Source organism: Homo sapiens, chromosome 3 (assembly GCF_000001405.40).
Source record: "Homo sapiens chromosome 3, GRCh38.p14 Primary Assembly".
Lineage (NCBI taxonomy): Eukaryota > Metazoa > Chordata > Mammalia > Primates > Hominidae > Homo > Homo sapiens.
Window position 1 is genome coordinate 124,172,463 of NC_000003.12, and position 13,008 is coordinate 124,185,470.

The 13,008-nt window shown below is 44.3% G+C and overlaps 1 protein-coding gene across 32 annotated transcripts in view; it reads left to right on the top strand.

Annotated features, from left to right (window-relative positions):
* KALRN (kalirin RhoGEF kinase) overlaps positions 1–13,008 on the top strand; it is a 692,957-nt gene that overhangs the window by 139,094 nt on the left and 540,855 nt on the right. The window lies entirely within an intron of this gene.

A 13,008-nucleotide genomic window follows, 5' to 3' on the forward strand; every position in this document is an offset into this window, starting at 1 on the left:
AGAGAATCTAGTCACTGTTTAGGACATGGGTGTAAGATTTGGATACACAAGGCCAGGCCCTGAGCCTTCTAGCTCTGAAGTCTTGGGCAAGGCTTTGAACCTACTAAGCCTAGCTTTTCTTATCTGTACCCTAGCAATCAGAATTTTGTATTGCAAGTTCGTTGAGAATAGGAGAAGAAAATTTGCCAGGGGCGCCCCTGGAACATAGAGAGTTCCTGGGCCTGTGTAGGTGCACAGTAAAGGGTGGCTTTGTGATTATTCTCAACCCTCTCAATGCTGTGCTCCCTGTGTGTTGTGGCTCTGCTGTCCACAGGAAGTAATGGGGTAAGACCATTCCAGGCTTTTAATGACCCATCTCCTGGGACTCAATGGCTGTATTTTTTAAAAGTTGTGCTTTATGTAGATTTTTATAAATTGGGTCCTATTTCCTCATTGACCAATCTGACTATTAATCTCAGTGAAAGAGTTCATTGGAAAACAGATATAATAGGAATGAACAGAGCTGCTGCAATCAGCCTGCATCATCATTCTAGCCAGGAAATTAGGCTTCAGGAGATTAAATAATAACTGGCCTAAGGTCACACAACTAGTTAGTGAAAGAGCCAAGGAACCAGAATGTCTGGTTCAGATTGGTGATTGGGGGGTGGGGATGGTGGGAAGAAAAATTCACAGCAAGTAGACTAGAAGGAAGTAAATTAAAAATATGGTTAATATATGGAGAATGGGGTGGAATTGAGACATTAGGTCATTTTCTTTTCTATGCTGATTTTTCAAAATTTGATGAACATGTATTGCTTTTATAATGGTTAAAATAAGTTTGATAAAGAAAAAATAAAAAGAGAAAGCTTGGGAGAACAGAGCCTATGTAGTGGCCTATGGCTAGATTATGGACCTGGGTGTTCCAGACTGGATGTAGTGAACAAAGGACAGACAGAATTGGGAATAAACACTAACTCTTTCTTAGGCCTTGCAGAAGTGATGCTGAGGTTAATCTGAAGTTACTTGGGAGATAGAGGAGAGGGGAATGTAGAGAGTCAACAAATCATTGTATTGAAGTTTCCTCTACTTTGTTTGTCTTTTGCCTTGGCCTGCTGGCCTAGTGATAATTGGGAGAAGGGGGAGTGAGAGGAAAGGGACCAAGGTTTCCTGTGCTTTTTTTAATTATTATTTTTGAGACAGAGTCTCGCTCTGTCACCAGGCTGGGGTGCAATGGCGTGATCTTGGCTCACTGCAACCTCTGACTCCCTGGTTCAAGCGATTCTTCTGCCTCAGCCTCCCGAGTAGCTGGGATTACAGGCATGTGCCACCACGCCTGGTTAATTTTTGTATTTTTAGTAGAGATGGGGTTTCACCATGTTGGCCGGGATGGTCTCGAGCTCCTGACCTCGTGATCCGCCCACCTCGGCCTCCCTAACTGCTGGGATTACAGGCATGAGCCACCGTCCCTGTGCTTTTGAATGGCCATGTGTCAGGGCTACCTAGAAAGATCAGGGCAAGGCCTCAGAAATCCCCATCAGGATAGACTGGGATGAGATTCACTCCAGGAGCTTTGGAAGAAAATATATAAAACTTGTTATTGTTACCATGACATACAAAATGCCCCACTATTTATCATTATCAAAAAATTCCTGGTACTTCCATGGGCTTTCTGCAGCAGAGAGGTGGGTACTTTTAAAAGTATAGCATTTGGGCCAGGCATGGTAGCTCATGCCTGTAATCCCAGCACTTTGGGAGGCTGAGGTGGATGGATCACTTGAGGTTGGGAGTTTAAGACCAGCCTGGTCAACATGGCAAAATCCCATCTCTATTAAAAATACAAAAAATGCCTGGCCCTGGTGGTGTGTGCCTGTAGTCCAAGCTACTTGGGAGGCTGAGGCAGGAGAATCTCTTGAACCCGGGAGGCAGAGGTTGCAGTGAGCCAAGATCATGTCACTGCACTCCAGCCTGGGCGACAGAGCAAGACTCTGTCTTAAAAAAAGGAAAAAAAGTATAGCATTTTATACACAAGGCTCACTAGCTTGTCAGTTGCTGCCAATCTGCCCTCAGGTTTGGGCCTTTCTACTAGAAACTCCCAAGCCAAGCTCCCTTCTTCGAGCACCTGGGCCACTCCTCCATCCCCAGGATGTTAGGCCATTTGGCAAGGTGCCCAGAAGTCCTTAATCGCATCTGTCTCCCAGGAGGAGGGCATAAGTGCAGGATTCCCCTCAGGCCCCCATGCATGTGGCCTGGAGCTGAGCCTCTGCCAACTCCTCTCCCCCTACAGAGCAGGACTGTCCAGGCCCCTTGTCAATGGAGCATATCCAGAGAAGGAGAGCTTTCCCAGAGGAAGGAAAGCTGTGTCTGTCAGAGCTCTTTCTCTCTTGATTTCAGCTCTTATAATCCTTGGCAGGAGAAGATGTTTGAGGATAGCTCGGTTTCCGTAAGCTAGTCACCATCTTCAGAATTGAGAAAACAGTAGCAGAATTTAAGTCCTAGTGGGGCTTTCTTTAATGCCTGGTCAGTCCATGTGAGGACTTTGTGTTGTCCTTCCAAAGGGGCAGCTGGCAGGACCAGTGTCCCATATCCCTGGGCCAGCTTGACTTCTATTGTCATAAAAAATTAATGTGGAGGATGAGGTGATTTGTAGGGCCCTGCAGCTGGCAGGCACAGCCCAGCCCACGTGTGCATCCAGGAGAGGCTTTGGTTCTGTACTTGCCACGTGCCCTGTGTTATGTATGGTGAGGCACATGGAATATCAACAGACCAAGTTCTCTGCACTCAAGATGCGGAAGGAATATTAGGAATGGGAGACGCATGCCTGGAGGTACCAGGCACCTAGCGCTGTGTGCACTGCCTAGGGCCCAGGCCTGCTCTCCAGGATGCGGAGATGCGCGCTGCCGAGGGTCCAGGCCTGCTCTCCAGGATGCGGAGATGTGCGCTGCGAAGTGTCCAGGCCTACTCTCCAGGATGCGGAGATGCGCGCTGCCGAGGGTCCAGGCCTGCTCTCCAGGATGCGGAGGTGCGTGCTGCCGAGTGTCCAGGCCTGATCTCCAGGATGGGGAAATGTGTACAGCCAAGTGTCCAGGCCTGTTCTCCAGGATGCGGAGATGTGCGCTGCCGAGGGTCCAGGCCTGCTCTCCAGGATGTGGAGGTGCGCGCTGCCGAGTGTCCAGGCCTGATCTCCAGGATGGGGAAATGTGTACAGCCAAGTGTCCAGGTCTGTTCTCCAGGATGTGGAGATGTGCGCTGCCCAGGGTCCAGGCCTGCTCTCCAGGATGTGGAAGTGTGTACAGCCAAGTGTCCAGGCCTGTTCTCCAGGCCCAGCACAGACGTGGTTGCCTTGCTCAAATCTTTTAGATTTCAGCCTCTATTCTCTAGCTGTCCTCTCTTTTAGATTTCAGCCTCTATTCTCTAGCTGTCCTCTCTGAGACTCTATGTGAATATCTTCTTTAACATGTCTAAAATTAAACTCAGCCTCTCCTTCAAGATACATTGCCCCTCTTTCTCAAGACCTAAAATTTTGAGTTTTTTCATGATTTTCTCTCTTCTGGGGCTCTTTCATCTTAGGTTTTAGACCCAGTAGCCCCCCTTTATAACCTCTTGTCTGCATCTCTTCCTTTCCACCCATCCCTGCCTTTTTACCTTTTGTGTAGGTGCCTGCAAAGCCCCCTGACCAGCCTCTCTGGTCTGGCATTACTCTTTTTTAGCTTCCCCAGATCAATCTTCCTAAAACAGCAAGTCTTTTCAGTTGTTTTTTACCTCCTAGAACAGTGACTTGGCCTGGATTATGTTAGGATCACCTGGAGAAGATGGAACGGGATGACTGGAGTTCCCAGGGAACCCACCCTGAGGAAGCCCCGCAGTAGTAGTTGTTGAAGTGATCATTTTCAGGCTCAGTAATATCCACGCAGATTACCCACATGGTGATACGTTTTTGGTGTCTTGTAAAATCCTGGATTGGCTTCTCTCTGCCACCCAACTGTGGCCATGGTCTCAGTCCTCACCGTTGACTGGTGTGTACTCAGGGATTTTGACACTTTGGGATATCAATTGGAACCAAATACTGTGAAGAGGATAAAGCAGCTGCTCGTGCCAAAAGTCAGGGTATGCACTGTCAAGCCGAAGTTGGCTGACCCAAACTGTGGAGGGAGACAAGCAGGAGAAGCTAGGAGTCCCGGCTCCAACTCAAGCTTAACCATCAACTGTATCACCTTGTGTTTAAGTCATTTTTCCAGTCTGATCTCAGTTTCTTTTGATGCAAAGCAAGGTTCAGTTAGGTGCTCTGCTTGTCTGGTTTGTTCATAGCACTGCTATCTCCTGTTTTCAAGGAAATTTGGGAGATGTATTTTCTAACTGTAGATTAGTTCTCTCCTTGCTTCATGTTAAATAGGCATCCTTAGGTCTTGGCTAAAAGGAATTACAGACTGTTGGTGTTGGGAGGGAACTTGGAGATTACCTCTTACCTGATGGGTATCCACACTATTCGCAATGCAAAGGAGACAGCAGATTGATTTCCTGTCAGACTCCCAGGGCAGAGAGGCCCATTGGGTCCCAAGGGCTCAAAGCACTTAGCAAGGATCACCTGACCTTTCCTGAGAAGAGGCACACTAAGAAGACTAAGAGAGAGAGGGCAGTCTATCTCTTCTTAGAGGTGGACAGGATGCCTGGTGGGCATCACTGCCTGGGGCAAGTATGGTAATGGGGTTTCTTTATTCTCTGTCCCTTCCTTTTCACAGGGCCTGGGAGTCTGAGGACTCAGCTCTGTGCAGGATGGAGAACTCTGCGTGTGTTGTCTCTAAGAACAGGCCTGCCATTTCTCAAACACTCCGGGCAAGACTATTGCTTGGCAAGTGTGGACTCAGGCAAAGCCCTCTGTTGCATTTTAAACACAATAAATATCCAGGGTAACCTGGCATTACTCCTTTTTAGCTCCCCAAATCAATCTTCCTAAAACAGCAAGTCTTTTCAGTTGTTTTTTACCTCCTAGAACAGTGACTTAGCCTGGATTATATTAGGATCACCTGGAGAAGATGGACCAGGATGACTGGAGTTCCCAGGGAACCCACCCTGAGGAAGCCCTGCAGTAGTAGTTGGTGAAGTGATCATTTTTCAGGCTCAGTAATATCCATGCAGATTACCCACATGGTGATACATTTTTGGTGTCTTGTAAAATCCTGGACTGGCTATAGTCTAGTAAAAGCATCAAGAATGGCAGCTAATTTGGAGGAATATTAGGGAGTTGGGGGGTCCCAAATGAGTCAGAAGCTTTGGTAGGGGTCATAAGGAGTCATTGACAAGATGATTGTGATGTGCTGGGGAGGGATGGTTCCTACCATGCTAAAGATCGCTGTATTTTAGTGGCCAGTAGCCCAGAAGTTTCTTTTTATCCTCTGCAGTTTTCCCAGTTTCCTAAGCCCCATCTCTTGGAAATCAGCCCCAATCTAATCCATGGATCTCTGGGTAATAGGTGGACTTTACCATAGCTACTTGGTCCATGCAAGTGTTTTAGAAAGTGTGATCTGGACAACTTGCATCAGTGCCACCTGGGCTGCTCTTTCAAAGGGCAGAAACCCGGGTTCTACCTGGATTTATAGGTCCAAGCAGTGGCACCCAAATGCCTACCTGAGATAAAAGATGAACACATGTTTCATAGCCCTCTTGTTGTATCTACAACATACCTCTTTACTAAAAGGGTCATGTTTAAGGAACACTAAGCAAGTGCTAAAAGGAAAATATAGTAGTTCCCCTTTTCTGCGGGTGATACTTTCCAAGAACTTCAGTGGATGCCTGAAACCGTGGATAGTACCAAACCCTACATATACTGTTTTATCCTCTATATTCATACCTATAATAAAGTTTAATTTATAAATTAGCCACCATAAGAGATTAACAATAACTAATTTAAAAATACAACAATTATAAGAATTATAGTCATGTGCCACTTAGTGAACAGGGTTATGTTCTGAGAAATGTGTCATAAGGCAATTTCATTGTACAAACCTCGTAGAATGTACTTACACAAATCTAGATGGTACAGACTACTATACACCTAGGCTGTATGGTATAGCCTATCATTCCTTGGCTACAGACCTGTGTAGCATGTTACTGTACCAGATACTGTAGGCAATCGTAACACAATGATAAATATTCATGTATCTAAACCTATCTAGACATAGAAAAGATACAGTAAAAATATGGTATAAGATTAATAATAGTACACCTGTATAGTACACTTACCATAAATGCAACTTGCAGGACTGGAATTTACTTTGGGTGAGTCAGTGGTGAGTGAATGTGAAGGCCTACCACATTACTGTACACTACCAGACTTTATGAACACTGTACACTTAGGCTACATTAAATTTATTTAAATATTTTTATTAGCTAGATGCAGTGGCTCATGTCTATAGTTCTAGAGCTTTGGAGGTCTAGAGGGGAGGATCGCTTGAGGCCAGGAGTTTCAGACCAGCCTGGGCAACATAACGACCCAGTCTCTATAAACATTTTTTTAAAAAATTAGCTGGGTATGGGGGCACACACCTGTAGCCCCAGCTACTTGAGAGGCTGAAGTGGGAGGATTGCTTGAGCCCAGGAGTTCAAGGCTACAGTGAGCTATGATCACACTATGGCATTCCAGCCTGCTGGGTGACAGAGCAAAACCCTGTCTCTAAAAAAAAAAATTAATAAATGTTTTGTTTAACCTTAGGTTATTGTAATTCTTTTTACTTTATAGATACTTTTGTAATAACACAACTTAAAACACGAATAGGTGTATGGCTCTGCAAAAATATTTTTATATTCTTATTCTGTAAGCTTTTTTCTTTAAAAAAATTTTTAAAACTTTTAAAACTTTTTTTTTAACAAATAAATACACAAACATATTAGCCTAGGCCTACACAGGGTCAGAATCATCAATATCACTGTCTTCTACCTCCACATCTTGTCTCACTGGAAGGTCTTCAGGGGCAATAACACACATGGAGCTGTTGTCTCCTATGGTAACAATGCTTCCATCTAGAATACTTCCTGAAAGACCTGCTTAGACTGTTTTACAGTTAACTTTTTAAACAAATATATGAACCAGTTTTTTTAGCAAATATATAAACAAGTAACATTGTTATTTATTATTATCAAATATGCATTGTACATAATTGTATGTGTTATACTTTTAGACAACTGGGAGTGCAGGTTTCTTTACACCAGCATCACCACATACGTGAGTAATGTGTGTGTTGTGCTACAATGTTATAGCAGCTATGATGTCACTAGGTGGTAGGAGTTTTTCAGCTCCATCATAATCTTATGGGACCACCATCATATATATGGTCTGTCATTTACCAAAACGTTGTTATGCGGTGCATGGCTATTCTGCAATAAAAGTTATGCAAATATGGTCTCTCTTACTCTAATGTATTTTATTGTACTGTACTCACCTAGTTTCGGACCGAGGCTGGCTGCCAGTAACTGAAATCGCAGAAAGTGTAACTGTGGATAAGGGGGGACTACTATAATTCTTCCTGAGCAAACATTTTAAAGGAATGAATGCCCGAGATACATAGTTGTATAGCTTCCTTTTCATCAGTTGTCCACTAACCATAATCATTGACACAAACTTTGATCAGAACAATGCTGAGCTTGAGCCTGGGGTAACTGCTTGTGTGGTGGGGGTATGTTCAACCTTTCTTGGTTTCATCACTGTGGCTCTTCTCAGCTGCTGACCTTGCCTTTGCCCTTCCCCACTGGGGCTATTTTGTTTCTCACCTGCCAAAGGAGGCTGTAGCAACTTTTGGCACGAGTGCCTGGTTTTTCTCTTTCTAGTGCTCCTGAGCAGTTCTAGACCTGTTGTCTCCATCCTCCAGCTCCTACCTTGAAGGCTATAGAGCTTTCCATTAGGAAATAAAAACTTTCTGGTTCCCCAGAGTTCCTCTGCCATGTGCTTTAGTGTTGCCTTCCCCCAGCTTTCATCAAGAAAGGTAGAATAAGCGACTCCTCTCCCTCTTCCCTAACCTAGAAAAAGAAGGGAAAAGAAAAGAAGGTGCACAGGGAACTGGCAAGAAGGTCCTTGCCAGATCTTCAGAGAGACCCAAGTTGGAATCTTGGCCCACCACTTATCAGCTGTGTGACCTTCAGCAGGTCGTATACACTCTCTAAGAAGCAGCCATCTCTTAAATGGCAGAAGAGGACCTCCCTCGTTGGACTCATGAGGATTCACTACAGCAACATGAGAAATCTCTAGCTCAGTGACCCTCACATATTAGCTACTCAGTAAAGGTTGCCCTCCCATGCCCCTGCCCTGGCTCTCTTTTCCCACACAGCCCACTTCTCTCTCTGCTCTCCTTCCTCCGAGTTCTCCATGGCCCCTTGCCCACGTTTATTCATCTCTGTCTCTCACCCCACTTCCTGTAATGAACAACACTGTCCTCACTCTGTATGTATCTGACCCCAACTTACAAGTGTGTTATATCTAAAAATCCATTAATAAGTCAGGTATCAGAACTACTCTTGTGCTTTTCTAGGGGTGGCTCACACCTGTACTCCTAGCCCTTCGGGAGGCTGAGGTGAGCAGATCACTTGAGCTCAGGAGCTTGAGACCAGCCTGGCCAACATGGCAAAACCCCATCTCTACTAAAAATACAAAAAAAAAAAAAAAAAAAAAAAAATTAGCCAGGCGTGATGGTGTGCACCTGTAATCCTAGCTACTCGGGAGGCTGTTATATGAGAATCACTTGAACCTGGGCGACAGAGATTGCAGTAAGCCAAGATCTCACCACTGCACTCCAGCCTGGGCAATGGAGACTGCACTTGTGCTTTTCTAAAAATCCACATTTATGCGTGATGGTTAACATTCCCAGGCTAGACCCAAAATAACTCATATCATAAGTTACAATGAAAAAAACATAAAGGAGAGAGCAACATTATTTTAATAATCATAGCAAAAACCACACCAAGCAAGAGTCCTATTACATTTTTTTCTGGAAAGCTGCTCATGATCAGAAGCAGGTTAAATTAAATTAGAGGATGAGGAGGTGAGGTTTTGGGGTGCTTTTAAAGGCTTTAAAAGTTGCTGGCTTTGGTTCATTATTAGCTCTAATTTACTACGAAATGCATGGCTCTCCCTTTTTCCTGATGCAGGTGTAAATCCCTGGCACCAATCTTGCACTTATCTGCCATGATTAGCATTATTTTTGGCTCTAAAATAGAACAAAGCAGGGAGGAGAACGTGGAGGGGAGGGAGAGGAATCTTTTGCTGCAGTCGTTTGGAAGGAATTGGGAGGAAAGAAGGAAGGCAGAAAGGCCTAGGATAGATATGAATGTGCTGTGCAACACTGTTTGTAGTGGAAAGTGGTTCCTAGGAGGGACAGGAGCACAGCATCTCTTCTCTGATGGGGAAGGAGGAAACAGAAAAGAGAAGCCAAGTCAAGTGGTAGAGTGAGTATTCCCATGTGTTTTAGGTACAGGGTACAGGGATCTTGTAGCAGATCAGGGATAAACATCTTGTTACCAACCTGAGTTTGGATATTTCCATGTTAGTGTCCCTGGCGTGCCTTTATAGTGACTCTATTCTTTTGCAGTAGGCAAAATCAAGCTGATGAAAATTATATACAAGATAAAATTATCCGAAGGGAATTAAATACAAACGTGGATGCTGGAAGACATTAGTTGGTCAGAAATTAAAACAATAGGGCAGTAAATATTTGGAGGTTAGAGAGAGGACTTTTTGGGAAGTGTATTAGTTATTTATTGCTGTGTAACAAATTGCTCCAAAACTTAACGGCTTGAAATAACACACATTTATTGTCTGACAATTTCTGTGGTTCAGGAATTTAGACACAGCTTTCTGGGTCCCCTGCTTCATGGTCTCTTAGGAGGCTGCAATCAAGATATCGTCCAGGGTTGGAGTCTTATGTGAAGACCTACGTGGAAAAAGCTGACTTGACTTACATGGTTGTTGGCAGTTCCTCAAGGGTTTTGGGGCTGAGGGTCTCAGTTTCTTGTTGCAGAGGCTGATCTCTGGTCTTTGTTATGTGGGCCTCTCCAACATGGTAGCTTGTTTCATCAAAGCCAGCAAGAAAGAGAATCCTCTGGCAAGATGGAAGCCACAGTCGCACATAGCCTAGCCACAGAAGTGATCTCCCATCACCTTTGCCTTATTATACTGATTAAGAAGCAAGCTACAAAGCCAGTATATACTCAAGGAGAGAGGATCATTGGGGGCCTCCCCAGAGTCTCCTTGCCACAGGCAGGGAGTATTAACCAAGAAAAAGACTCAGGAGATTGAGAGATCTGGTGCCCCAGACCCATCTGGCTTCATCTAGTGCCTCTTTAACCATCTCACTATCAGCCTCCAGACCTGAAAGATGTGCTTTATGCCTGGGTTCCAAGTGCTCCTTATCTATGCTGACCAAAACCGCATCTTCACATCTGTTCTTCCTCATTAAAGATTTTCATACTGAAAACACATAAAAAGAAAAATAAAGTGTTGGGGAAGAGGAGCTGGAAAGTTCAAAATATTGAGTATTTGTATATTATATATATAGGGTGTTGTGAACTGAATTGTGCCCTTCCCAAATTCATATGTTGCAGTCCTAAATCCCAGTCCCTCAGAATGTGACTGTAGAAATAAGGCTTTCAAGAGGTGATTAAGTTAAAATGATGCCGTTAGAGTGGGCCCTAACCCAATCTGACTGATGGCCTTATAAGAAGAGAAGATTGATTAGGGCACATGGAGAGAGACTGTGTTAAGCTGTTCTTGCATTGCTATAATTTAATTAATTACTGGGCAATTTTATAATTGCTGGTTAATTTATAAGAAAGGAGGTTTAATTGGCTCATGGTTCTGCAGGCTGTATAGGAAGCACAGTGCTAGCATCTGCTTCTGGTGAGGTCTCAGGAAGCTTCCAATCATGGTGGAAGGTGAAGAGGGAACAGGCATCTCTCATGGTGAGAGTGGGAGCAAGAGGCTGGGGAGGTGCTACACTTTACAGTAACCAGATCTCATGAGAACTAACTATTGCAAGGTCAGCACCAAGCCATGAAGGATCCTCCCCCATGGCCCAAAAACTTCCCACCAGGCCCTGTCTCCAATACTGGGGATTGCATTTCAACATAAGATTTGGGTGGGGACAAACATCCAAACTATATCAGACACCATGGGACACAGAGGGACAACTGTGTGAGGAGGCAACAAGAAGGCAGCCATCTGTATCTGCAGGCCAAAGGGAGGAGCATCAGAGGAAGCCAACCCTGCTCGACCTTGATCTTGGACTTCCAGCCTCCAGAGCAACCAAATAAATTGCTATGGTTTAAGCCACCCAGTCTGTGATATTTTGTTATGGCAGTCCTAGCAAACTAGTACCGAGGGCATTTTTGTTTTAAAGTGTTCATTAATCTTGTATAGCTTTAAAAATGTCTTTGTTCCAGGAAATGTGTTGGAGAAGGACTGAGGACTTAAAAGATGGACCTGCTCCTTCAGAATCCTATAGGTCAAGAGAGATACAAACAAATCAGAATGTAGTAATGAATGCCATAATCACCATACATATGGTGCTGTGGGGACAGAAGAAGGGGCAATTATATGTTGAAGAAATATTGGAAGTGACAGGTGAGCTGCTGCTTAAAAATGGGGTGGAGTTCTCAGAAAAGGAAGAAGGTTGTTCCAATCTAGACAAACCGAACACAGGCATGGAGGCTGGAAAGAGCATAGTGTGAGCACTTTGGCTCTAGAGTCACATGGATCTGGATTTTAATCTGCCTCCACCACTTAGTAGCTCTGTGACCTTGAGCAAGTCACTCTGTGCCCTTATGTCTTCATCTGTAAAGTGAGATTAATTGTAATACTACCTCATAATGTTGTTGTAAGGATGGGATGAATTAATATGGTTGAAGAGCTTAGAAGAATGTAAGTATTACATAAGCATTAGGTATTATAATTCTAAAATGCAAATCTTATGTCATTCCTTTGGGTTAAGCTTCTCAGTGCTTGTGTAGTAAGTCTGTGGAATAAATTCCCAACTCGTTAGCCTAGCTCTACCTTGATCCCCAGCCTCTTCCCCTGTGTTCTAGCCCTGCAAGACAGCAATGCCTACAACCTCTCCTATCATATTCTCTCCCTACTGCTGAAATAAAACTGCACATTCCTGAAGACACAGGTCAATTTTCAACTCCCCTTTGAAGCCTTTCCTGACCCTCCTGCCCTCACTTCTATAATTGTGTGATGTAGATCTAAATTGTAGCACTTATGTTTATATTCCGGTTCTTTTATTCATTTACCGCAATAGACCAGAGATACCCAGAAGGCTGGAACTATGTATCTTCCAGCCAAATTTTGTATTCTTATCATCTGGCACATACTGGGCACCCAATAAATGATTGTTGAATTAAAAAAATGAACAAATAGTGATTTGTATATAGTAATAGTATGTCTTAGACATGGGCAGATAGGTGGGGATGAGCCTGGAAGCAGGGATTTTGAAGGGTGGATCTGTATGAATGCATTTAAATGATGAATAGGAGGAGCCAGTTCAGTATAGCTAGCAACCATCTTAATTTCCCCATTTATGGAGGTTTGTTTGTTTGTTTTGTTTTGCTTTTGAGATAGGATTTCACTCCTGTTGCCCAAGCTGGAGTGCAATGGCGTGATCTTGGCTCACTGCAACCTCCACTTCCTGGGCTCAAGTGATTCTCCTACCTCAGCCTCCCAAGTAGCTGGGACTACATGTTCATGCCACTGCACCTGGCTAATTTTTGTATTTTTAGTAGAGACAGGGTTTCGCCATGTTGGCCAGGCTGGTCTCGAACTCCTGAGCACAAACCATCTGCCCGTCTTGGCCTCCCAAATTGCTGGGATTACAGGCGTGAGCCACTGCACCTAACCTCTAACAAATGCAACAAGCTACCAAAACTTATGTCAAGCTTCGGGCCAAAGCTTGTTCTTGGGCCCCATGTTTATTCTAGGCAGCTTGAATTTCTGTCCCTTCCTAGTTAGAAAAGGGACCACCTTGGGCTTCCTCTCTTCCCTGCTACCTTTGT